Source organism: Homo sapiens, chromosome 21 (genome assembly GCF_000001405.40).
Source record: "Homo sapiens chromosome 21, GRCh38.p14 Primary Assembly".
In the NCBI taxonomy this organism is placed as follows: domain Eukaryota; kingdom Metazoa; phylum Chordata; class Mammalia; order Primates; family Hominidae; genus Homo; species Homo sapiens.
In genome coordinates, this window is record NC_000021.9 from 42,220,774 (window position 1) to 42,247,588 (window position 26,815).

At 48.6% G+C, this 26,815-nt stretch overlaps 1 protein-coding gene and 1 pseudogene across 11 annotated transcripts in view, besides 5 other annotated features; both read left to right on the forward strand.

The window, feature by feature from the left end:
- Positions 1–26,815, forward strand: part of ABCG1 (ATP binding cassette subfamily G member 1) — a 97,556-nt gene that overhangs the window by 21,085 nt on the left and 49,656 nt on the right. For all 11 annotated transcript variants that reach the window (NM_207627.2, NM_207628.1, NM_207629.2 and 8 more), the window contains one exon: positions 4,898–5,141. In NM_207627.2, coding sequence (NP_997510.1) covers positions 4,898–5,141 — 244 coding nt within the window. The remainder of the gene's footprint in view (positions 1–4,897; positions 5,142–26,815) is intronic.
- On the forward strand, positions 400–513 carry RNA5SP492 (RNA, 5S ribosomal pseudogene 492; annotated as a pseudogene).
- Positions 7,403–7,452: an enhancer, noted in NCBI's record as "active region_18507". NCBI's record gives its function as "activates an Ori minimal core promoter by ATAC-STARR-seq in GM12878 lymphoblastoid cells {active_cell/tissue: GM12878}" and the evidence as "EXISTENCE:reporter gene assay evidence [ECO:0000049][PMID:35858748]".
- Positions 7,643–7,892: an enhancer, noted in NCBI's record as "active region_18508". NCBI's record gives its function as "activates an Ori minimal core promoter by ATAC-STARR-seq in GM12878 lymphoblastoid cells {active_cell/tissue: GM12878}" and the evidence as "EXISTENCE:reporter gene assay evidence [ECO:0000049][PMID:35858748]".
- Positions 13,944–14,143: a silencer, noted in NCBI's record as "silent region_13339". NCBI's record gives its function as "represses an Ori minimal core promoter by ATAC-STARR-seq in GM12878 lymphoblastoid cells {active_cell/tissue: GM12878}" and the evidence as "EXISTENCE:reporter gene assay evidence [ECO:0000049][PMID:35858748]".
- Positions 14,154–14,223: a silencer, noted in NCBI's record as "silent region_13340". NCBI's record gives its function as "represses an Ori minimal core promoter by ATAC-STARR-seq in GM12878 lymphoblastoid cells {active_cell/tissue: GM12878}" and the evidence as "EXISTENCE:reporter gene assay evidence [ECO:0000049][PMID:35858748]".
- Positions 16,496–16,545: an enhancer, noted in NCBI's record as "active region_18509". NCBI's record gives its function as "activates an Ori minimal core promoter by ATAC-STARR-seq in GM12878 lymphoblastoid cells {active_cell/tissue: GM12878}" and the evidence as "EXISTENCE:reporter gene assay evidence [ECO:0000049][PMID:35858748]".

The following is a 26,815-nucleotide window of genomic DNA, read 5'->3' on the forward strand; positions in this document are numbered from 1 at the left end:
TGTTCATCTATTAGGATTTCTAAATGAGGTTGACCATGGAAAATTAAGGAGGTTATTGATGTTAGTTGCAGGTAGAGAAAGTTATAGATCTTGTATTAGATGCTAGTTAACTCTTGAATTCCTTCTAGAGCTGCAAAGGTGGCTTGGTGTGGGTTTTCCTATAATGGACATGTGGAAAAATAATGAATCCGATGTTTTAAGGTACAGATTTTTAATACCAAGTTTTTAAAAAATGTTATATTATCATTTGATAATATGCCCCCGGAGCTCAACTGTCTTGTTATCACGTGGAGACAGTAACGGCTGGGCTCATTGTTTTGGAGAACATTATTTTATTTTGAAAATTATTTTCCTCTCTGAAAACTGGGTACTTTAAAAAAAGTTTAAACATTTCTATTCATGCACAGCTGTCCCACCCTGAAAGCAATAATCTGATGGTAGAAGCTAAGCAGAGTTAGGCCCCGGCTAGTCCTTGAATGAGAGACCACCTGGGAATTCTGGGGGCTGTAGGGTTAAAAGAAAAATAAATTAAAAATAAAATAAATTCTGGCCAAGTCATAAACAAAGAGCCCTTCAGAGATACCAGGATCTTAAGCTTTGCTTTTCCTTCACCTCCCTGCCCTGGGGTCCATCCTGGTGTGGACCCTCTGAGCTGTGAGTCAAAGGAGGTACTTGGGGGTGAGCCAGGCACTCGGGGGAACATGCTGGAGCCCCTGAGTTCGGTGGGCATACAAGGGGTGGCAAATGCGTCCAGTGGGAGGGTGGTATTTGGAGGTGTTCTGGGATTCCAAGTGACCCCTCAAGTGCGGTCTGGTCTCTGGCTCAGTTCAGGGTATGATGCCTTTGGTATTTTCTTCTGGGCAGTCGCCTTGGGGGCTCTTGGTCAGTGCATTTTCCTCTTATGTGCTTAGGATGCTTAGGCAGGTACCAAGGCTGGCAGCAGTGAACCAAAGAGAGAAGACAGACAGCTGCGTGCTAACTGTGCTGCTGACTGGCTCCTCCTCCTGTTTCCTGACTTCCTCCTAATGCTAGGAGAAAAAGTTTCTGTCTCTGTGTTCCTGGTGGAAATGGAGTGAATGCGGCTCACCACGGCCTGTGGGTGGCTTACTGACTGCTACAGACCCTCCCCAGCTAAACAGGCATCTCTATCTGCCCAGGATTCAAACTGCAATCACAGGCCACTCTGCTCAGCGCCCAGGAAAATATTCCCATGAACAGCAGCCAGGAACAATCCAAACAGGGTCTCTTTGGCATTCCACATCTATGAATGAACTTACTATGACGTACAATGTATTGTGCAGCACAAATCGTATGTGGCCCGGTGCGGGGGTGGGGGAAGGTCAAAGACAATGCTTCAGTAGGATAGGGAAACAGAAGAGTGAAAGGAAAAAATGAAGAGAGAAGATGCATGTGTTTTAATTTTAATGAGCTCAGGAGGCTAAGGAGAAACTCGCTGTAACCTACATTGCCGGCAGCTCTCATCGGAGGATGTGTTTCCAGAGAGCTGGTCTATTTCAGACTGACAGGCCACTGCCTCGCATCACGCAGTTTTCACGATCCTATTAATTGGGTGAGGCTGTTAGACGCTGTGGAGGAAAGGTGGTCAACTGTATGCATTGCTTTGCTGTTGGCTTATTTGGGGATGGGGCTGTATGATTTCCTTGGTGTGGATTTTCCTATAATGGACAAGGGCTGAAAGATGCCGAAACACCCACAACTCACCCGTGGAAGGCTAAGCAATAGTCAAGGGCCGTTACAGAGGCTTGTGGTCTCAGACCTGGAAGCCTCTCAGAGCAGGGCCCCAGCCTGGCCACGCCCTAATCATGGGGTCTTAAGCAATTCAGACCATGTCTCTGTGCTTCCGATACCTCCTCCGAACTGGAGATGGTCATCCCACCTCCCAGCACCCCTGTCCCTGTTAGGGTTGTGGAGGTAATAAGAGGCATAAACTATATAGGTTAGAGTTTAATAGTCACATGGTAATTGCTGGATCAATAAACACTATTGTTTATAATCACTTACCTAGCATGCACAAGCCATTATTATTTAATACTTTACATTGCAAGTACTTGATTCTGGCTTCTCTCTTTCTTACTCCCAAATCAGTTTAGTCACCCAGTTTTATCCTCCTGGCCTGTCCCCTTTCCTTCACCCCCACTACCAACAGCAGATCCAGGCCACCATCACCCCACCTGGCTCACAGCAGGAGACTCTTCTGCAGTTCTGGTCCTGTTATTCCCTCGGGGCTCCCCAAAGATCTCTAGATAAAATGCAAAACCCGTAACCAAGTTGGCAAGCCCTTCCCCATGGGGACCTTGTTTGCCCCTCTAGTCTCATCTTATTCTAAAGCCCCCTACTCTCCTGCCCCGACCCTACCAGCCCAAATCCACGCTCCAGCCCCTGCGTTTCTTACAGGTCTCTGAACGCTTCACTGTCTCATGCTGGTGGGACTTTGTCTATGCTGTTCCCTAGCAGAGGCCACCAGGAGCCAGCACTCCTCCATGTCACCTTGCTAAACTCAACTAAGATTCTATTTCTGCAGAAAGATTTCGTCCTGCGTCTCCCCATCTCAGGGTCTGTGTTGCGTTAGATATCCCTTCTGAGTTACCCATAGTATGCTTTCCGCCTGGCTCTTGGCTTGACCTATTGTAATTAGTTGGTCTTCCTCAAAATGAAAGAAGCAGATCATAGGCACACATGGGGAAAAGGCACCCACCAAGAGTCCTCAAGGCGACGGCCCAGAGGAAAATAACCAAAGCATCAAGAAGCACAGCTGAGCTTCTCAACAATCTGGAGGCACTTATGCTTTCCTCCTGGCTCTTGCCTTAACCTATTGTAATGAGTTGCCTGTTTTCTTGCCTGGGGCCAGATCTTGAACTTGAGCTTGCCAGGTCAGGGGCCATGTCTGCCTGGCTAATTGCTGACCCCAGGGCTTTATCTGGTGCTCAGTTTGTCCAGTGAATGAGTGAGTGAGACAGTGAGTGAGTGAGCAGATAGTGAGTCTAGCAGAGAAAGTCAGGGTCTCATGATAATGTAGATGGGTGGTGTGGTGGCCATTCACCCTGTATTAGTGTGGGCTTCAGCCACAAGAAAGAAGCATCTGTCCCTGGGCTTCAGCAGGGGCCTCACACCTGCAATGGGTGCCTGGGGAGAGGGTGCAGATGTTGCGTGGCAGCTGGCCTCCTGGGGTGGAGGTGGAGAGGACCCACAATGGGAGAGAAGTTGCTCGAGCACCCTAGGACTTACCCTCAACTGCACACACAGCCATCGGGGGTCACGTGGCAGAGCCCACATCTGCCAGCAGGATTGGGTAGAACCCAGCGCGTTCTGTGTCTTTATTTGTGTGGCAAGGTGGGGATGGAAATGGACACAGGGAACCAGACCTAGAGCGCATTGTCTTGTCCCACAGCTTTGTTGACATCCCCCCTCCAAAGCCCAGATTTGGTGTTTTTGGGGCTCTTTTGGAATCAAAGTGAGCTCTAAACACCTGGGGCAGCAGCATGGGATCCCAGAGGGCAGGCTGAGGGGCATGGCGTAGCAGCTCCTCCAAGAGGCCCTGCCACAGGGGCATTGGGACCAGCTGGGAGGAGGCTTCGGGGTCGCTCCCTTGGAGTCTGCATCTTATCATCACACCAGACCCCTAAGGAAGGCGGATCCCTTGTCAGACACACATACACCCTCCCAGCTCTGCTCGGGAATGCGGGGAACCCACTTACGCTGGCATCCAAGACACCCCACATGCCCGGGACCAGCAGACCAAGCTCAGCTTTGTCAGAGTTTCACTTGGCACCTTTAGTTTTAGCCACACAATATTATAGTGCAGGAGCTAAGTTTTGATTTCATGAAGGACTTCAGAGGTAGAAGATGCCTGGAAGGGGTGTGTGTGTGCTTTTGGCACTGTGAGATGTTCTCTCTCGATTTGGAAGACAGCAAGAAAAAGCACAGCAATTTGCTCCCCCAGGGTTCTTCTGTGTTTTGAAGGTACCTGAAGCTTATTGATTTGCTCACGGTTGCCAGGCCATTGAAAAAGGGTATTTCTTTCTTTGCATAGGTACTTCTGGGTTCTTGGCAATCAGTTACAGTTCGTTTGACTCCCAATGGAAGCTTTAAAAGCCAATGGTAGCTACAAAAGATTAGGTATTCTCTTGATGCAGTGAAATGAACACCTATCTTTTTTTTTTTTTTATGACTCAAATTCTGGGATAACTTCTGCTACTCACTTGATTGTGAGACCTGGAACACGGTCCTTAAATTGTCTATATCTCAGTTTCCTTGTTTGTCTAACATATTAAAAAATGTTAACCATTCCAACTTTTCAGCACTATTATGAAGAGGTAGCAAGAGAGTAGAATTGTAAGTGATTTGGAAATTTTAAATGCAAAATACAAAGGCCAATCCCCACAAAACTCAGCAGCTCAGGTGATGTCATTGCTCCTGAGACATTTTTATGAGATTACGCGAGAAAGGCACAAAACAGCTCAGTGTAAATATAAGTTTCTCGGTTTTTTATTTCTTAGGCACCTGGTGTGTCTTTATTGAGGTTTTTAAAATGAGGGGACTGTAAATAGATCGATGCCTATGGTGGCCAGTGTTTTCTTCTTTGAGGCAAGTGATGATTCATGGATTATAGTTTTATGATTAGATTTTATGATTCCAAAGTAAGACTTGTAGATCAGTGTAACACTTTACCTTAAGCATTTTTTAATAGAAGAAAATGTGACGGAGATGACAAATTCCTCTAGGTGGGCACATTTCTCCTGGGGCCAAAGGTGCTCCTGCAGTGGAAGAAGTGTTGCTATTAATAACCAATGACCCTGAGCCTCATGGTGAATCTCTTCATGTTCTTTTTCTTGATGCAGCTTATAACAGGTCTTGTTGCTTCCTCTGGTTTTTCTAGAATGCCAGCAGTTACTCTGCAGAGATGACGGAGCCCAAGTCGGTGTGTGTCTCGGTGGATGAGGTGGTGTCCAGCAACATGGAGGCCACTGAGACGGACCTGCTGAATGGACATCTGAAAAAAGTAGATAATAACCTCACGGAAGCCCAGCGCTTCTCCTCCTTGCCTCGGAGGGCAGCTGTGAACATTGAATTCAGGGACCTTTCCTATTCGGTTCCTGAAGGACCCTGGTGGAGGAAGAAAGGTAGGGAGGGCGGCTGCTTTGTGTATCAAGCTGGGAGGAGCCTCTGAAGGAGGCAACAGGTTGTTTGGGCAAAATCGGGGTCTGGAGGTTGAGAGGCTGAGCTTCTCTTCCCAACGCCGTCACTGCTGTGGTCAATTTATTCTATTGCTTTCTGCCTGAATTTTCCTCTCCTATAAAATGAACAGGTTGGATTTGGTGATCTCAAAGTTCATGGTTGCTCTGAAATTCTGCGATGTCATTATGGAGAATTTCACAAAGATTGACGGGTGTCAAAGTGTGCCTGTTTCTGGCATGTGCTGAGAGAGTCCTCTTTTGTGGATGCTGTTCATGTCCATCTTTCAAGATGGAACTGTTTTTCAACCGCCCAGAGCAAAATGGGGGACAGGTGCCCCCCTCCCAAGCGTGAAGTGTTAAAAAGTGGCCAGTGACCTAGACTGACCTCTCCAGAGACCCATCTTGAAAGGATTCTTTTGTGGGTGGTTGTGGTAGGCTAGAAAGAAAACTAAACTGTTGAAAAGAGCTGATACATAAAAATAGAAAAAACAGAGAGGATAGAGCTCAGGAGGTGTCTGGAACGCCACACAGTGCAGGAGTTTGCCACTAGCTTGTTGCATGTTACAGGAAATTGATGAGTGGTAGTTTGAGTTTTCTCAGCAACCTTCCCTAGCTCTAGAGTTTCACAGTTTGTGGAGTTAATGCCGCCCTGGGTTGGTGTGTTTTTTTCAAGCCTGATCTGTTTCTTCTGTGGAATTTATCCTTCATCTCCTTATGCTCCAAGCACTCATTGTCTGCTCCTAAGTGGATCAGACAGGTGGGTTGGGGGAGCTGATAGGCAGAGGACGTGTCAGACTTCATCAAGAAACCATGGTCCCTAGTTTCTACTGAATCATGGAAAGCAATTTGAAAATCTGGGAGGACTTTGGAACAATACAAATGACTCAGGTACCCCTGGAATATGCTAATATTTTAGGACTTTGAACTTAAAACTGGATTCAGCCCTTCTTTCATTTTGAAGAAGACCAATCAAGACTCACGTTTTAAATTTTCAGTTGTCTTTCTTCTTTTCCCTATTATCTTCTTTTTGTTTTTCTACCCTCTTGAAGCTAAGTCTTTGAGACCCTTAGCATGGGCAGTCCCATCTTCATTGTAATCACAATTTTAGAGCTTTGAAAGACTGGTCCCTGGGATCTGCAAGCCCAGTTGGTGGCTGGGTAACTGTATGTCTGTGTTTGCACAAGCAGAAACAGATTCAGTACCTTCTCAACAGACAACAGTATAGCACTGTGATGTGATACTTGCATTTTCAGAGCATACCAGCCTGTTCTGTTAAGAAAGCAGCTCTGTGGCAGGCTCAGATGTGGGCCCACTCCTTTGATCATGTTGAAATTTCAACATAGGGTTCTAGAATTCTCCTTCTCAACTTAAAGAAATATTTTATAGAAAAATGTATCAAGAAACCAGGACACCGCGTCATGTTTTGGCGTCGTTTGTCTATATAGACAAATTATGGCAAAGCAGTGAGCAACATAGAGCGATTCCTGTCCGTCTGTTATGTGTGGCCTTGGAAATGTTGTCATGACAGTAGAAAATGCTGGGAAAGGTGTCTTGTAAAATGAAGATGGGTTGTAATGCAGAAATGAAGACATCTGAAACCTGGTGGCATCTGGGTTTGAAATGTCTTGGCATAAGCCTGGCACACAGGTGTAGCCAGTGTTTGCAAGCAGTGAGTATCGCTCCCCTACCCAGTGTGTTTGTCCATTTTCACACTGCTATAAAGAACTACCTGAGACTGGGTCATTTTTAAAGGAAAGAGGTTTAATTGGCTCACAGTTTGGCATGGTTGGGGAGGGCTCAGGAAACTTACAATCATGGCAGAAGGTGAAGGGGAAGCAAGGCATGTCTTACATGGTGGCATGGGGTGAGGGGAGAGAGAGAGAGAGAGCATAAAAGAACCCACACACATTTAGAACATTAGATCTCATGAGAACTCCCTCACTATCATGAGAACAGCATGAGGGAACCGCCCCCAGGATCCAATCACACCTCTCGCCCAGTCCCTCCCTTGACACGTGGGGATTACAATTCAAGATGAGATTTGGGTGGGGACACAGAGCCAAACCACATCACCCAGTATGTGACTTGTCACCCCTATATTCTCTAAGTGTTTAAACTGATCACATGAATCATCACAGTTAGCCAGCTGGTAATGGCTTGTAGTGAGGGAGGAGCCCCAACTGTCCATTCTTAGGAGCGCAGCCCGGGCGGGGTGGCCACCAGATAGAGACTTGCCCTACAGTAACCTTGTGTGCTCAGGCAGGGGAAGAGCCTGCAATGGGCCGCCGAGGGACCTGCCCATGACTCAGAAATGGGTGGAGCCAGAGGGGTTGACAGACAGGATATGTCTGCTGTGTTCCAGCTGCTGGTTTCTGCAGGGGCCAAGGGTAGTTTTGCTGTCTGGCTTCCTACCCACTGCCCTCCCCAGCCACAGCAGCACCTGCGTCTGTCTTCCCTCTCCCTGCTCCTCCTCCCCTGCCTGCCCCATCCTTTCCTTTGTTCCTGGTGCCTACAATTCAGAGTCTAGATGGTTTATCACTCCAGCACACAGAATAGAAAGGAAACTGAGACAAAGGTGGTTAAGGGACTTGCCCATGCTCCTGGGCTTGAAAGGGGCAGGGCTGGGATGAGGACAGCAATTTCTAGCTCTGTGCACTCCGACACAGTGGCCATGCCTTGTCTAGCACAGGGCCTTATGGGGTGCCAGGGTCCATGTAGCCAGCAGGGAAGCAGAGCTCTTCCTGGAGGCTCTGGTGCCCACAGGATTTCCTGCTGTTGGTGGTTCAGTTGCCACTGCTGAAGAGTTTTTCCTGCCAAAGGGTGCTAGCTGCAGAAGCCCTCTCTGTGCCCACTGTTGTCCCAACACCAGCCTGTTCTTGGGTGCTGCGTCCAGTTGGCTCCAAACTTGGGTACCATATTTCCCCAACCAAAAGCCAGGACAATCAATAACAGTGCGCATTAAATGCGGATCTTGTGTTGGGGCTGCAGGAGGAGCTGCATCCCACTGGACCTCACCCACACGGGTCGCCACCCTCCTGGTCCGCCTCTGCGCCTGCTGGTCCACCAAGTCGGCCTCTTTTGCCCCTCCCATGCATGGGTTCCTCCTGCTCCTGCTTTTGTCCCTCCAATTGCTGGCGGTGGTCTCAGTCCCCAGCCATGATTAGGTTAGGCTGAGAAGTCAGAGCCCAGCCTCACTCTGCATTTCTCTCTTCTCACAGTGGCGGAGTTTGTATTTGGCATCATCTCTGTGCGACTCCAAGTGTGACGTTGGGTCAGGGGCTACTTCTCTGACTGCTCTCAGTATATTCATTTTGCTGTCTGTATCAAGTCCATTGTTTTCAACTTTTAAAAATTCAGTTTGATGCATTGAGCTAATTGTAATGATCACGCGGAGGCTGGATGTCCTGGCATTGCTGGGGAGGTGTCTCCGAAGGTAAGAAGTGAAGCAGTTTTGAAAGTGCCTGGTTCTGGCCGGGCACAGTGGCTCACGCCTGTAATCCCAGCACTTTGGGAGGCTGAGGCAGGTGGATCACGAGGTCAGGAGTTCGAGACCAGCCTGGCCAACATAGTGAAACCCTGTCTCTAGTAGAAATACAAAAAAAATAGCCAAGCGTGGTGGCGAGTGCCTGTAATCCCAGCTACTCGGGAGGCTGAAGCAGGAGAATTGCTTGAATCCAGGAGGCAGAGGTTGCAGTGAGTCGGGATCGTACCATTGTACTCCAGCCCAGGTGACAGTGTGAGACTCTGTCTCAAAAAAAAAACACAAAAACAAAAGAAAGAAAGAAAGAAAGTGCCTGGTCCCATGGTTCACAGTAGGGCAAAGGAAACAGGAGCTCGGGCGCAGAGCTGATTCACTCAAAGGCAGAGCCAGGGCTAGGACCCAGCTATTCTGACTCCAAGTTCCTTCCCATTACAAAGACACTGGACCACTCCGGTTGTTTCCAGGAAAGACTTTTTCTCACATGATTTCCCCCAAAACATGGTGCTGCGATACAAACGCAACATACAACGCCCTAGCAAAGCTGAGCATTGTGACCAGAATAACTTTATGAAGTCCTACGTAATTATTTTAAAGAAGGAGAACTTCACAATCCTTACAAGAAAGGCGATGCGGGAAACAGTAGCGGCATTTTTAAGAAGAGATGCCAGGCACTGATTCTGTAAAACTTTTGAGCTTGACAGTTACTAAGCGTTGAATATGGCATTTTAACAAAACATCTTGTATTTTCAATTGTAGTTACATTTTCACCATATGACTAATGATGTCTTTGGAGGGAAAACTAGATCATATAATAGATTCCTAGCAGAAAACATAATTGTGAGAGGAACTATTCTCAGGAGAGAGGAGTACACCCCAAGGATAATTTCCCCGGCCTCAGATACAGTAATTACTCTCCCTCAAGGAATTCACTCACGTAGCTTGTGTTGATGGGACAAATGGCTCGGAACAATATCAGCTTTGGTGCTGTCACACAAACTGCGCTGGGGACAGATCAGAGTGATCTGGTTTATTTGTTCCTCCTCACCCTTAGGTGTGACTCTTTTGAAAGCAGCCTTTTCTTCCTACAGAGTAGACACTATGTTGAGAACATTTAGGAATGTGGTTAAGAGTAAGTTCACAGAATAAAATTCTTCTTAGGTAAAGATGATGGGGATGAGCAGATTTTATCGTAAGCTGCTTTCAGAGCCCATTCACACAAGGGTCTCATTTTATTAGGGCGTGATTGGCCACAGTGAACAAATGGAATGCTTGGGTACTCGTACACTGCCCATCCCCCAGGAGATCCCGGCGGTTCCCACGCGTAGTTGACTGAATGATAGCCGTTCTTCAATCCATTTGGCTCATGGGGCCGATTCAGGAAGGATCTGCACATTCTTCCTGTGGAAACCTGTGACATGAGGCTCAGAGACGTGACCAAGGTCATAGGAGTGGGGAGGAAGGAACTCAGAACCAGGTCTGTGGGATTTCAGGCCAAAAAGGAGCGTAGCAAGTGCTTAGCTCTGACGTGGGCACAGGACTGGACCACCAAGGCACAGCTGTGCCTAGCCCCGTGTTATGAAATGGTGTGGGGTTGCCTTGGCTGTAAACTGATGTATTTTCCTTTTAATTGGCCTGCTTGGATGTCAGCGGCCATTGGCCATTTATAGGGATTTCCTGTCCCTCTGGAGAGGCTCCAGCTTCCCTCTTCTCACCAGGAAGGGGAGGCTGATGTGCATGGCGTGCTTTCTCTCCAACAGGTGAAGCGATTCTCAGAAATCAAATTTACCTCCCAAGATTACCTTGAGGCGAAGTTCAGGTTGAGAACAAATGTAGTCATATCTGGGGCTTTAGAGCGTTTTCTTTCCTATCTGCAGTCAGGCCGTGGCCTCCACATGGTGACGCTCTGATGGAATGGAATGTCGCCTCCTTCTTTGAAACCCAACCCTCCAGGCTCATCCTTGCCAAAAACCAGGAAGGGGTTAAATATTCCGGGCAGCGCCAAGTCAGATTATCTGTATTGGTTTGCTTCTACGCTATAAAAATGCATTTGGACACCTTTCTCAAATTCGGGGTTGCTTTCTCTTAATTTCTATAGCCATTTCACAAGGCCTGTAATGACAGGCCAGCTAAAGTGCATGGAAGGCATCATGAATAAATCCTTTCAGGAATTCCATTAAGGGAAGACTGGATTCCAACCAAGTGCTAGTGACTTGATCCAACCTGCTAGAACAGGGAGGGGAGGCAGCCCGGTTAAAGGCAGAGTGTGGAGATCCTGTGGCTAGGGGTTTTGAGAGGGGCAGATGCTCAGGCTGAAGGGGGATGGATAGTTCCCTAGCATAAGTGAGTTACTTTTGTGCTTCTTTGAGGCTGTTGTGCTAAAGTGGGCTTTCTTGTGGGCCCACAGGACATTTCTTTTAGTCCTTTGCCTTTAATGGAGGTGACAGCTGACCCCTGGTGCAGTGTCGTGGCCCCAGGCCACTTGCAGGGATGGCTTGCTTGAGGCTGGGGCATTGACAAAGAGTCTGCCTTGGAGAATTCAGAGGACTGGAGAACCCTTCTCTTCCCCGCTGGGGCCAGTTCCTAGGTTCTCAGTGGCCCCCAGGTGGGTGGGCTACCACTCAGGCCCTGAGGGGTAGCACTCCTTTGGTGATGAGGTCTTCTGGAACAGTTCTGACCCCTCTGCCTTACAGGGCCCCAAAGAGGCTTTGAAAAAATTTTGAGAATGGACCAACTCTCACAGCAGATTCATGAGAGTTGAATGTTTAGCCGCCATGTGCAAGACCAAAGGGGTTTGCTACTTTCTTGGACAGGCTTCATATCCAAGGGGTCTAGATGCTCCCCTCCAGCCAGCACATTTTCTCCCTGTGAGCACGTTGCAAGGGAAACCAAACCCTCACCAGCTTGGGCCTGGGATCTGGGTGTGTGACTCCTTAGTGTGGCGTTGTTAGCGGTGGCAGCCTCCCTGGACAAGGCTCAGATGGCTCTGCCAACATTGGCCTTGGGGTCTGCTTTTCTCTTTGCCACCCTCAGATTGGCAGGTTCTTTATTTGGACATGTTAATACTTTGTCATTTTCCCAGAGAGTGCTCCTGTTCTTGAACCATCTGGCCCCTTCAGTGCAACTCTGTAGGACTGTGCTCTGCTCCGTGGGGGTTGGTGTCACTGTTTAACTGCTGGAGGATGTTCTTACCACAATCGTTTTCACCTGCATGGTGGGTGCCCCCCTGCCTTCCTCTACTGCCTTGAATAGGCTTGTATCTTGAAAAGTTCACGTTCTCAAATGGAGGCCCTCCCTATAAACCAGAACCTAATCCACCAGTCCAAGAAATCACCAAAGGTGACATTTTGCTGAACATGACACCGTTTCTTTTGTTTATAAATTGGCAGGAAGAAAAATGTTTAGTAACCATACACCTGCTCTTTCTGAGTTCAGTTCTAGAATCAACAGATTAGCTATGAACAAAGAAAACCATGTGGGTCAGATTAAATATATCCTGAAGGACTAAACCGTAAAACTAGGGATTTGTCATGGAGGTGCATTCATCAAACTCAGTTGATGAAGTTCCAACACCTGCATAGGAAACTTACTCTCAAATACAATGTACCCAGTGCCGACTGTTTTTGCTCACATTGTGAAAAAACGCAAAAAGATGGGTTTTCAGTCATGAGTGGTGGCGGGTGGGCCTGCAGGGATCCAGTCTGACCTGCAGCCAAGAGTTTCACTTCCCACTTTGTCAGCTGTGTGCTGTTTGTCACCTCCGTGCTCTGTGGGGTAAATGGCATTTGGTGTCAAAAGTAAGACACACCAGGGTGACTTCAGGGCTGTGATTACATCCAGCTGAGACCTATATTTAGAGTCCAAATCTTGGAGCCAAAAGGAGTCGTGCTGCCGTAGCCCGCCCTCCTGCCCCGTGGAGGGAGCCTTCTTGCACCATTTCTGACAAGGGACAGCCAGCTTCTGTCTGAGCACTTCCAGCAACCAGGAACTGACACCTCCCAGGCAGCCGGGCTATGTTTGCACAACCCTCATTCTTAGAAAATGCTTCTGTCTGTTGAGCTGCAATCTGTATTTGAGCAATGTTCATTTGTGGATCCAGGTTCTGTTTTTTGAAACTCCGTAGACCAAGTTAATCTTGGTCTTGAAATAAGCTCACAAATCAAGGGGAAAAGCCCAGCCAAGTACAGAACAATAACCAAATACATTACAATCCAGAGCTACCTTGAGAGGAGGAAATAAGAAGCACATGGCCCTTGCAGGAAATGAGGTCAGAGTCCTGCTTTGGGAGGTGGGCATCACTGCGGCATCCGCAGGGTGCAGGTCAGTGGGCAGGCGCCCCTGCTGGAAGGTTCTTGCTGTCTGTAAACTGATAAGGGTGGAACCCGCTGGAAGGGCAGAACCTGAGTCACGTTCTTTCTGTTTCTTTTACTGTTATAAGGCAACTTGGTGCCTTCCAACCAAAAAAGTCCCCCTCTCTGATATCTCAACTGCCTGTCTTGAAAGTGAACCTTTTGGCAGGAGTTTTTATGGGATTTCTCAGTTGTTATTTCTCTCCTCCCACTGTTTTGGGAGAAGTGTTTTTTTTTGTTGTTGTTGTTTTAATTAAAAATAACTGGTGTTTACTGAGCAAATCGTGTTTGCTTTATTTGGCGCTTTGCCTCATTAAGCCTTTGGGGAGCAGCATGGGACACACATCAGTATGGGCATCTTCTCCAGAAGGGAAGGAGGGTGGAGGGGGAACGAGGGCCTGCCCAGGACCGCTGGCAGGTAGGGGGCAGGTCCAGGACTGGACTTAACACCTGGAGTCCCAACTCCCTGCCTCTATAAGCGCCACTGAGAACTCATCTCTTTGCAATCGCTCAGACCCAGATAATAAAATAAGCTGGGTTGAGTTTTCCTTACCCAAGACATAAACCCCAAACCCTGCTGACAATGAGGAGCTACAAAAGGCCTCTCCTCCTCCTGGGGCACGTGTTCCGGGAATTCTTTCATGGATGCAGGTATGGGGGCATCTTTGGCCTCTGTCCTTTGTCTGGAGCTCCCCGCACCTGGCTGGGGGCTGCACTGGACACCTCTGCCCACCCTGGCCCTGGGGTTATCAGGCCACCTGGCCTCCACCCAGACGTTCCCTCCCAGGGCGGGATTCATCCTGGCCCGTGGTGATGTGCAGGCTCCCGGAAGGCCGGGCTCTGCCCACTAAGTGTCAGCTCTAACGCAGGCTCTCCATACTGAGTAAAAAAGCCCGTCCTTTCTCTGGCTGGTGCAGGTGCTGACTCTGCAGGCCTGTGGACGCAGGGTGACGTTCGCGCTCTTGCCCGAGCTCAACGCCCGGGAGAAAACAGCGCTGCCGGAGCCCCTCGCGCGCGCAGGTGCGGGCGGGGCGGGTGCGCGCTGCCGCGCGTGTGCAGCGCCCGCCCATCCGCCGCCACCGCCCGCGCCGGGGTTACTACCGGTCAACGCTCGCTAGTAACCTCCGCGGCGGAGCGGCGGCGCGGGGAGCGGCGCGATTGGCTGCGGGCGCCCCGCGCTGTTGCCAAGCGCGAGGAGGCAGCTGCAGCCCCGAGCGGGGTCGCAGCCTCCCTGGGACAGGGGCGGCCCTATGCATAGGGGATCACCCGGGCCATGCAAATCCCGGCGCCCCGCGCGTGCTGGTGTTCTCCTCCCCAGGTCCAGGAACACCGGTCCAGGAAGCCTGAGAGCGCTGGCAGTAGGAAGGGTCGCCAGTGTGGACCTGAGGGTGGAGGTGTTGCCACCCGGGGCGGCCTGCGCTCCATTCAGGCTTGAGCGGTGACTGGGAGACCCCGGGAATGGAAATGGCGCTCAAATGCTGGTGTGGTGTCCGCAGGGGAACGGCCCGCGGGTGTGTGGAGTCTGCGCCCCTGTGGCTTCAGCTGCGTCGGGGGACTGCGGGAATCTTCCAGACTCCAGTTTAAATCAGAGAGGTGTGTCCACGAAAAGAGTCAAACTAAAACATTTAAAGAGATTTATCCTGAGTGACCATGGCCCGTGACACAGCCTCAGGAGACCAGGAGAACACGTGCCCAAAGGGGTCGGGAACAGCTTGGTTTCATACTTTTAGGGAGACGTAAGACAGTGATCAATATTTAAGATGTACATTGGTTCCGTCTAGAAAGGTGGGACAGCCCAAAGGGGGACTTCCAGGTTATAGGTAAATTTAAATTTTTTTCTAATTGGTTAAGTTATTATCGATAGAAAGGGATGTCTGGGTTACGATACGGGGCTGTGGGGACCTAGGTTGTATCATGCGGATGAGGCCTCCAGGCAGCAGGCTTGAGAGAGAACAGACTGTAAATGCTTCGTATCAGACTTAAGGTCTGTGTTGATGTTAATGTTACAGGCTACGATAAGGCATGTCAGACGGACCGCCACTTCCCGTCATGGCCTGAACCAGTCTTTCAGGGGAAATTTTAGAGTGCCCTGGCCAAGGAGGGAGTCCATCCCCATGGTTCAGGGGGCCTTTGAATTTTATTTTTGATTTACAGGTCTTTACTTCAGGTGGCACAATTTTCCTAGGAGACAGTTGATTTTTGATTCCTTATAAAACGTGCTGGTTTTGTTTTTAGCTGACAGTGTGGGGTGAAGCTGTAAGGGAGCCAGGGCCTCCTGGGGTTGATCCAAGCATGTCTGAGCCTTCTCTGGGGTCAGCACTGAAAAGTGGCCAGGGTGGGGTTTGGAACCTTGGAATTGCCCTTGGGAATCTGCAGCGTTGGCTCCGCTAAGCCGGCTGGAATCCGGAGATCATGCGGCAAGGTCACGCTTCCCGGCTGCCTGCCGAGTCACTTCTACCCTAGGCAGGTTAGAGGCAAGGACAGATGACAGCTGAACTTTACGGAGTGTTTTCCAGGGCATCTATTACAGTTTTGTGTGTGTGAACCCAAAAGTGTGATAACAAACATCATTTCCATCAGCTGTACTGTGTTTGAGTATCCGCAAGGCCTGGGGCCACCTCAGTGGAGTCGGAGGTGCCACGCTTTGCTGTCTCTGGAGACCAGGGCCTTCTCTAGACACCCGGCGGGACTAGTTCCTTTGGGCATAATTTAGGTGTTTTGTGAAATGTTAAACATTGTCTTTCAGACGCTTTGCTCAACCTTTTGGGCTCCTGACCAAATGCAAAGAGACCCAAGGGCTTGCTTTTCCTTGCACTCTTGGGTTTTCATTGCCTGCTTGCTTATTTGATTTTGTGACTGTGGAGCTGGCATTTCTGTAAGCCCATATAGAAATTACAGTTTCCAAGCCTAAACCCACTAAGCCAACAGGGGCACACAGGAAACCAGAGATGGTGGTGGATGAAAACCTTTGCAACAAGAAGGAAGGGTACATCTATGATAACTATGGTGTTACATTACTAAAAACAGTAAGGATGAGTGTCACTAACATGAGAATGTACTCTACACAAAAGTCTGGTGAAAAAGGGAGGAGCCCTTTCACTAAGTTTCATATTTATCAGCACTCACGTTAAGAATTACAGCAGAAGCTGCAGGTTTCCTGTTTCTGAAGACCTGCGAATGAGTTTGTCCAGAAAATGGCCGTGTCCTGAATGGTGTGAGCAGGAGGCCATCCAGCCTTGTGCCTCTAGGCCTCCTCCCCTTCAGTTGTCATAAATGTGCCATGTGCCCCTGCCCAAACCCAGCAGCCTTTCTCTGAATTTCATCTGGTTTAGAGAGGAAAATGGGCAGCATCATTTTGTCACCTTCTCTCTTCCCAGGGGCGTTCTGTGCTTCTTGAGAACTATACCTCAATATCTGAGTTGGCTAAGTCTCTAGAATATGAATTTCAAAGAGCTTAGCCTGGCCAGCAGGGCTCTCTTGGAGCCCTTTTTCTCTCCCAGCCCTGCGTCTCCGCAGCCACTCCCCATGGGCTAGCCAGGCTGAACTGCCAGTCATTCTAGCATTTGTGCTTTCTTTGGGCCACTCTCTCTACCAAGAACCCACCTCATCTCCCCAGGCTAGGGGAAGCCTTCCTTCATTCACCCTTAACCCTGTGGCCAGGAGAGTCTTTCTTGGTTACTCTTCGTACTCCTCTGCCCCTACGATCATGGGATTATGGCACTCAGCATGGGATTTTGTGCTTCTCTTCTGAGCTTCCAAAATTACCCCTGCGTCTCAGCTGCCCAGCCAGTGCCTGGCTCAGAGCTGGCATGCAAATGAATGAATGGAATCACAAAAAGCTAAATCACAGTAGAAGAGCCTATACTTTTACCCTCAAAGACAGCTTGGTAGAGAGGAGAAGTAGAGAGGAAAACCAAGAGCCTTGAGATGCTGGGCTGTTTTGATCTTCCCTTGCTGTGTCAAACCCATGAGCCACCTCTGACTAAGCTTCACGCAGGTGGTTTCTGAGGGCTGTTTCTTTGGCCGCACAGCACCGTGGATGGACAGAGGGGTGGCTGGGGAATGGTAAGAGCCTGGATTCTGGGTCAAGCAGCCTACTCTTGAATGCCAGCTCCACCTCTTCTTAACCATGTGACCCTGGGCCTCAGTTTTTGCATCTGCAGAACAGGGCTGATCCAAGTGCCAAACTCAGGATTGGAGTGAGGAATAGCAGAGGTCATCACTACAGCCAGGGCTGGCACACAATAGTGCTCAAGGTATTTTAATGTTACAGGTCAAATTTTGCTAAAAATTGATTTTCGTGTTCCTGGTTTCATGAAGGCAAATACTCCTCTTTCTAATAATAATAGTATTAGCTTGGTATTTATTAGTCTGTGAGCAGTAACTTACTCTGTCTTCACAGCAACCCTGCGGTCAGGTTTTCTACCCATTCTTTTTGAGGGAGGAAGATGCTGTGGCCGGAAGCAGTGAGGGCCTTTGCTTGGGCATCACAGAGAGTGCCATCTCTTACACAAAATGGGGATTTCGAATCTCAACACTCTGAGCTCTGTGCTTTCCCCCAAGACAGGCTACATGCTCCCTGGAGTTGTCCTCCAAGAGAATCTTTGTATGGTTCCTTTTCTGAGACTTCTGGTTTCTTCCTCATGGCTCATATTATGACTAATTTCAGACGCGTTAAATCCCTCTATCTTGAGACTTGTGTACTTGCGTGTACAAGACAGGTAACAGTCTTATTATTTCTGAGAGATCTCTCAAGTACTTTCAGATCGCTGGATGACAAGCTTTGCATCTTTGAACTATTTATATTTCAGTATCTACATTTGTGAGTTACTGGATGGAAATTTCCACCATTCAAACAAAGCTTGGCAAGCAACATTACACTTCAGAATTTGGCTCACGGGCGAGGTTGATGCAGGTTATCTTAGGAGGATGTGAGATGTTATCAGCTCCTGCGTGTTTTAGTCTTGTGGCTAGATGGTCATGACTGAAAATTGAGGATGTTGTGCCCACTGCTCTGGTTGGCAGCTCGTGGCAGGGAGAGGTGGCAGCAGCTCTGGGGTTGGTGGGAGCCACAGTCTCACACCTATTGGCAGGTCGTGAACATTGTTCTTGGATTTGCAAATATTTAATGTAAATCCATTAATGTTGTAGCTTTATAGAAAATGCACTTACTCTCCTTTGTGGTAATTCTAAATTAATATGTAACAAGGAGGTTAAGATGAATTGAACTATATGTGGAGCTTAGTTAAAATTTTCTTTCTCCCGCTATTTCTTTCAAAAAAATGATTCCAGGTGTAGTACTTGTTAGCAAAATGCCCTCAGTAAAGGAGGAGGCAGTATAGGATAGAGCTCAGGAATGTGGGCTCCACAGTAAGAGAGTCTGGGTTCAGAATTGGCTCCACCGCCTACTAGCAGGGCAACTGGGTGACTTACCCCTCCTGTGAAAAGGAAATATTAATAATAAAAATATCCATCTTATTAGATCAAATAGCTTGATACCTGTGAAGCACTGTGACCAGCTTGTGGCACTTAATAAACCATGGCTACCCTTCTTATATGTGATGTAATAAAATCATAATAGCTTAGAATCACTAAGATGGATCAAAGCCTTTTAGTTCTCATTCTAAATGTGAAGTGTGGCTTGATACCTTAGGCTTTAGAAATGAAAGGGAAAGAGCAAGGGTATAGTTGGTGGCCACTGTTGATTTAGTGTTTCCTAGGCGCCGGGCAGTGTGCTCAGAGCCTCACACCTATGTGCTCCCATGAGCCTCATTGCTGCCCTTTGAGAGTGGAGGGGCAAGGGGAGGTGTAGGGGCCTGGTCCGGGGTCACAGGGCTGTAAGTAGCAGAGCCAAGAGGTGACCCAGGTAGCTGCTTCCAGAGCCCCACACTGGTCCCCTGGCTGGGCTACATCTTACCTTTGTGTGTCTTTGGTGACCCATGCTCCTAGAGCCAGCTTCCGGTTGGGGCAGAAGACCGTCCGGGGCCTGGCCCCTGGCTAATACGATGGCTACTGCTCATCTGCTCTGTGTCGTAGATGCTCACATCACTTGGGTGATGAGCCTTTGTCACGTGGCCTCTGCAGAATCAGCTAGCTGGGCAAGGGGCCTAAGCTCCGGAAGGTTCCCCTTTGGTCATTTTTGGGTGTCTGGTGATTGCCAGGCTTCCAGTATCTCACCACTCAAATTAGAGCCCCAGAAAGGGAGCATGGTGTCATTTCATCCCCTGGGCCGTGGTTGTGGGAGCCCATGGTGCCTTCTGCAGGGCACTGGAGAACGCTGTGTGTGCTCATCTTGGGACAGGCAGGAGAGGAGGGCAGGTGGCAGGATGAGGGCGGCTGTAGCCTGCAGGTCACACAGTGTTATGCCAGACCACGGTGCCTGCCACGCTGGGTCTCCAACGGCCACACGAGGCACTGCTTCCATGTTATCAGTGAGGAAACTGTGGCCTGGAGACAGGTGGGCGATGAGTTCAAGTTCCTGCTGCCAACAGGTGGACCCCAGGACCAAGCCTAGCCCAGTTGACCCCTGGCTCCTCCTGTTTGCTCTTTGAGATCATATGAAACAGCCAGTGACTGCCTAGGGCCATGGCCCTTTTCAGTGAACTTGAAACATTAAAATGTTTACTGCCTTCACACTTATGGCTTAAAAAGTTGTTTGGTTTGTGTTTTCTTTGAGATGGAGTCTCGCTTTGTCACCCAGTCTGGAGTGCAGTAGCGCAATCTCAGCTCACTGCAACCTCCGCCTCACAGATTCAAGTGATTCTTCTGCCTCAGCCTCCCACGTAGCTGGGATTACAGGCGCCCATCACACCCGGCTAATTTTTGTGTTTTTAGTAGAGATGGGGTTTCGCCATGTTGGCCAGGCCGGTCTCGAACTGCTGACCTCAGGTGATCCACCCGCCTTGGCCTCCCAAAATGCTGGGATTACAGGCGTGAGCCACCGCACCCAGCCAGAAAGTTAATTTTAATGAGAATGAAGCCGCATCATTGAAAAGTCTGATGAGCTTGGGAGTTGTCTAATGGTGGAGGCTGCCAGCCAGGTCTCATGACCTGGACCAGATTAAGCCCTACTGTCCATCTTCAGGGAGAGTAAACAGCGTGACCAGCACGGGCCACGCTTGCTCACACCCACCAGATGTGCGTTCCCGCACCACCCAGGGGACCGAGGGCACAGGTGGGGAGTTAGGAGGGAATTCAGGGCATGGGCAGACCCTCTGAAGGAATCCAGGAGGCTTGGGATCTGGAATGGACACTCTGGGCTGACAGTCAACAGTCCTGGTGAATAGCATGTTGGTCTCTGGGACTCTTATCCTTCTGACTTTCACAGACACGTAGTGAGAGCACTGGCCACGTTCAGACGTGACTGCCTGTCAGGATTCTGACGGAGGTGACCCTGGCTGGGCCACCAGCTTTCAGCATCCATTTATCGTAAAAGCCAAGTGCACAGTGGAGATGCTTTTCTCCCCACAACATCCGTGAGCTCATCATAAACAGAAACGGGGAAATTCATCAGAGTGTGTTTCTGTGAGGAGTTAAAAAATCCACAGGGCAGTAATCCCAGCACTTTGGGAGGCTGAGGCGGGTGAATTACTTGAGGTCAGGAGTTTGAGACTAGCCTGGCCAACATGGTGAAACCCCATCTCTACTAAAAATACAAAAATTAGCTGGGCATGATGGTACACGCCTGTAGTCCCAGCTACTCAGGAGGCCGAGGCACAAGAATCACTTGAACCCGAGAGGCAGAGGTTGCAGTGAGCTGAGATCGCACCACTGCACTCCAGCCTGAGTGACAGAGTGAGACCCTGTCTCAAAAAAAAAAAATAACAAAAAAAAAACAAAACCCAAAATCCCTAAGGTGTTTATAATTTTATACTGTTTCCTAAGGGATTCTCTTGCATTAAAAATGCCCTGCTGGGTGCAGTAGCTCACACCTGTAATTCCAGCACCTTGTGGGGCTGAGGTGGGAGGATTGCTTGAGAGCAGGAGGTCGAGACCAGCCTGGGCATCAGAGACCCTATCTCTATTAAAAAAAAAAAAAAGCCAGGCATGGGGCATGCCTGTGGCCCCAGTTACTTGGGAGGCTGAGGTGGGAGGATCACTTGAGGCCAGGAGGTTGAGGCTGCAGTGAGTCATTATCACACCACTGCACTCCAGCCTGGACAACAGAGCAAGACCCTGTCTCAAAAAAAAAAAAAAAAAAAGAACTCCCCATGGTGTTTTTGGTTACTTGTTTTACAAATATGCCTGCCATTGAAAGCACAAAACAGTGAAATCCCTTTCTAAAGTATATGGGGCCAGCCACAAAGTAGACTCCAGTACATTTTATTTTAAGCAAAGTTACAAAGCACATGCAGTTCTTACTACTGTATTTTGATTTTCTGAGTTTCCTTTAGGAAATATTGGCTTTTTAAAAAGACTATACAATGGGCCTGGCACAGTGGCTCAGGCCTATAACCCCAGTGCTTTGGGAGGCCAAGGCAGGAGGACTGCTTGTGCCCAGGAGTCCAAGGCCAGCCTCAGCAACATAGCGAGACGCTGTCTCTACAGAAAATAAGATGAGCAGAGCATAGTAGTGTGCACCTGTAGTCCCAGCTACTGAGGAGGCTGAGCGGGGAGGGTTGCTTGAGGCTAGGAGTTCAAGGCTGCAGTAAGCTATGATAGCACTGCTGCATACTCCAGCCTGGGTGACAGCAGAGACCCTGTCCCTAAAAACAAAACAACACAAAAACTCAAACTGCACAATGAGAGAGGAGGAGGGAGCTGTATTATAGATGTGTGGTACCTGGAACCAAGTGGTGACGCTGAGGAGGGCGGAAGGAGCATGATGAGAGGTGGCTGGGTGACTTGGCTGCTGGAGAACGCTGGCCATTAGGGCACATTCATTCTGTTCCGGCTCTTGTGTTATTTCACACTTTCCACATCCCAGTCCTTTAGAGCCGACCATGAACCGGGGCAGTGAACCATATCGTTGTTTGTTGTGTTTTTTGGTTTTTGTGACTTCAGAGGCTGAAGTGCAATGAGGCAATCAAGCGAGCTCCACCATGGCCCTGAGGGCTTGTGAAAATGCAGGTGGCTGGGCTGCACCCCCGGGGGTCTGAGTGAGCAGGTTTGGGGCAGGCAGGGTTCCGTGTCTGATAAGTATGGGGCGATGCTGCTGTTGCTGGTCCAGGGATCCCACTTTGAGAACTGCTGAATTAGAGTAAAGAGGAGTTGATGGCCATGTGGGAGCCACCCTGAGCCCTGGGAAAACTGGAGCAGGAGGTGGCATCACCCACACTTGCACCACAGGCAGGAGTGAGGGCCCTGCTCTCCCATGGTCAGGCAGCCTCAGCATCTCACCACTCCCTGGCCTTCAAAGTCAGCTTTCCTTGTGAACCTGGGTGGTCAGAGATGCAGACAGCAGGGCCAGGTGGTGTCTCACGAGTCGCACTATGAATGTGGGGAGCCCGTCGGCCCCTCCCTCTGCAGGGAGGAGAGTTAAAGCTCATGTCCTCCAGGGTACCTTCCTCGGGGGTGGTGGACTGCTGCACGCCAGGGAACAGGGCAGAAGTGCCTGGATTCAGCAATTTATATTATTATTTAAGAGAGAGCAGATTTTATTTTTATCTTAATCTGTTTCACAGAACCATATTTTAATACCGTGTGTGTGCGCGTGTGTGTGTGTGTGTGTGTGTGTGTGTGTGTGTGTGTGTGTGCGCTGGTTTATAATATCACCTGGGCGGGATAAAGAAGATTAGGTTCCTTTCTGCTTATTTGTAAAACCTGTTCAAGCTGCAGTAAGATTGTCATGATCTCCATCATCATCTGATTTATCCCCCAGCCAGTTCCTCTGTAAAATCTGGAAAGACAGTAGTTGCTGAGGGGCTGCAACAGAGGATTGGCGTGAGAGTGGAGAGGTTTTTGCAGGATTCCCGGCGCCCTGTCCAGACAGCGGTGGTGGAGAGAAGCAAAGAGAAGTGCAGTTTCTATCTAAACTAGTAATTTTCTTTCCTCTTCTGTAAGCCCTCTTTATCTTTGGCTTTTTTTTTTTTTTTTTTTTTTGAGACGGAGTCTCACTCTGTCGCCCAGGCTGGAGTGCAGTGGTGCGATCTCGGCTCACTGCAAGCTCCGCCTCCCGGGTTCACGCCATTCTCCTGCCTCAGCCTCCCGAATAGCTGGGACTACAGGCGCCCGCCACCACGCCCGGCTAATTTTTTGTATTTTTTAGTAAAGACGGGGTTTCACCATGTTAACCAGGATGGTCTCAATCTCCTGACCTCGTGATCCGCCCATCTCGGCCTCCCAAAGTGCTGGGATTACAGGCGTGAGCCCCCACGCCCGGCCTATCTTTGGCTTTAAAAAAATGTTTTAAATTGCTCTTTTCTTGCTAAAACATCACTGTAAGTGATAAAATTATTTGCAGAGGCTGGAACATGAGGTTAGCTGGGGGTGGAGAGGGCATCCTAGGAGTGGACATGGGAGCTCACAGGGATTCAGGAGGGCATCCAGACCCTGAACTTCCTTCGTCCCCTCCCAGTGCAAGGTTCTGACAAGAGCCTGCCTGAGCCCTTCTCTCAGTATTTAGTAACACTCGATCCTAACAGAAGAAGGTCGGCCATTTCCACCGTCCTCTGTGCCAGCTCTCAGGACCAGATTAGAAACACAGTTAACACAGCCATTGCCTTGCCAATAAATTGATAAAGCTAAAAGACTTCAAAAGCTTCTCTTCTGCACTGCATTTCCTAAAGTCTAATTTACAGTCTTGTCTTACTTTGCAATTCCCACTCTTTTTTTTGGTGAAGAAATTGAGCTTTTCCTCATCTAAAATCACGGCAGATTTTGAGTTGCAAGGATCACAATTAGTGAATTTTAAAAATTATACCTGGAACAGGCACATGGCAGTGGTCGTCTGAGAATGAGCTGGGAGGTGTGAAACCTTCTTGCCACTGACACTCAAGGACAGGGCTGTTTACATGACATCCATTTCCAAGCCACAGAAAGCTTGGGAACACCCACTTAGAGCTGAGAGTGACCTTCCCTATGGGAGAGGCACACTTACAAAGGGAACGACCGTAGGCAGGTGAAATCCCCACCTTGCTGTTGGAACCCGAGCTTCAGAGAGGGCTGTTGACTTGGCTGGAGCCATCCGTGGAAGGGGTGCATTGAAACCACAGGTGAGAACTCCATGTGGGAATCCACCACCCTCTGAGAACGACCCTCAGGAAGAGGACCTCCTTCCCCAGTCATGTCCCAGCTCTGCCCCCACGCGCTCCACGAGCTCAGGCCTGCAGTGGGAGCTGAGCGTCTGGAGTGAGGAGTGGTGTTTGCCAGACCTTGTGTTCCCTGGGCTGCCTGGAGGGGCTCCTCCAGTGAATCTAGACACCCCACACTTTGTACCAGGGAGTGGAAAGGGTGATATGAACTTCTGCATCCGAGGACTTCTGAAAAGCCACAGATGGAAGAACCAAAGAAAACAGGATTTACTTAGAAGGTTGAGCCTCTCCACTGGCTCGCATATAGGTCTAACTTACAAGGAACCTGTTGGGTTGTGGTTTTTGTAGTTATAAAAATTATTAAGGAACCAGAAAATTGCATTCTTCTCCAATTGGTTTTAGGCATTCAGTCCAGATACAAGGATTATGAAACTTAAAAAGCAGCATCTTAAGCCCGGCTTAACCCCAAACAACATCTTAACCCCAGTGAAGTGTTCTTGAAGGGTGGGTGCGGCCACACATCCTGCAATCCAGTGCAGACCAGATGGCCTCCCTGGCCAACCACGGGGACAGGAAGAAGAAGGACAGAGGACACAGGAGAGACAGGACTGAGCTGGGTTCCCATGTGGTGTGAGGGAGGCAGGGAATGGCCCAGAAGGCTGGATCTGCAAACAGGAGTCGCATCAGAGACAGAGAAGAGAGCACAGCTCAAGGCTGAGATAAGACCAGGAGAACTGGGGCTGTATTTCCTTATCTATTCCTGAGATCCATGCTTTCTGAAAATCATCTGCACATCTAAGCATCTTGGCACAACTCCGATGAGGAGGGGATGGGGCACCAGGCAGCAGACTCTGATGAGGAGGGGAGGGGGCACCAGGCAGCAGACTCTGATGAGGAGGAGACAGGGCACCAGGCAGCAGAAAGTGCTGACTCAGCAGCACAAGACCACATGGCCGGCTTCCCTTCTTCCTCGGAATGGCCTGGAATTCGATCAAGAACAGCAGCCCCAGGAGCATCCTAGAGAGGTGGGGGCAGGCGGGGGACATGGTGAGGGAGGGAGTGGCAACTCTGGGCAGGTGGCAAGAGCCAGCTGATGAGTACAGGGAGGGAGTTCCCTTCTCCACCCATCCACACTGACATCTGGGGAACTCATTTAAGCTACAGATGCCAGCTTTTGGATTTGCAGAACGGTGCAGTGACTGAATTCGCCATCCAAACACTTAGAAGAATAAATGCACCAGTTTCTACAGAGGCTGTAGATATAAAGCCATTTCTCAAGAGGAATGATAGTTGTCACTGGATATAGGATAGCTTTGAAAAGGAAAGATTATGGAGATATTTGTCACCTCTTTAAGATACTGGCAAAACAATAAAGCTGTTCTAATAATTTACCTGTTAATAAATATTTTCATAAAATAATCTCAGTCCATGTGCAAAAATAATAAACAATGCTGCTTTGCTCTGATGGCTAAAAGAAAGAGATTCTCAGTTCCAGCTTTTCCTCACTGACGTAAAGGGATGGGATATCATTTCATGAGCTTTTAAGTTTCTTCATCATTTTTCCTTTCAGAAAGTAACAAATGTAATTTCAAGATACAATGGCGTATGTGTATATATATGAATATGTATGTATTGATGCTTCTATACATAAAGACACATGTATGATTATATTTTAATGAGAGCACTTTTTTTAAGTCAGGAAAAGACCTTAAAGATTCATATAGTCCACGCTCCACATTTCATAGATTAGAAACCCAAGGCGCAGGCTGAGATTTTTAGTTTAAAATAAACCAGTTTTTGAGATGAAATTCTGGTACTGCCACATCTAAATTTGAATCTTATATGCCTGTATTTATTTGTTCTGAGCAAGAAGGTTTGATTCCATCATTAATTAAAAAGTCTCAGGCAACCAGACTGGGATAAGTTTTTAAAAGAAAAAAAAATCCTACAATTAAAATGAAGCCACAAGACTTAGAATTTGACCGTGATTTTAAAACTATTCTAAAGAAACTTTGTTTTACTTCAAGTTAGACGTGACTGTCTAAGGTAAGGTATATGAACTATTATAAACTTCCCAGAAACAATTTCTAGCTGGTCCTCTTTCTGTTTCTTGGTGAGTTTGTGTCTTTCTCTGAGTAATTTTCAGGATAAAAATATTTGAAATTCTTTTTTCTATTTTCATTATGGGGAAAAAGCATCTTGTCTTCATTCAACAAACTTTTATTATCTGTTATAAGCAAAGTATTTTTGCTCAGTCTTGGGGAGGAAAAAGTAAAGATAGCATGTCCCTCAATGAGTTTATAATTGATAGGGACACAAGGAGCTCTCACTATCAGGCAGGGGTTATCTAAGACAGTGAATAATGCCCAGAGAAGGGTTATAGGAATTGGAGGAGGATGAGAATCTCTGGAGAAATCACAGCCTTTGGAAAAGGCCACAAAGAGGGGCAGAACCCGGGGGCACCCGGTGGAGAACTGAGCAGGTGTGGTGTTTAGAATTTAGGTAACGGGAGAGTATGGTGATGGGCAGTCTTGGAAATGGACTTTCTGGGAAGCATTTGGGTGGAGATCTTGGACTAGACTGGTGACTATGGTGTAGTGG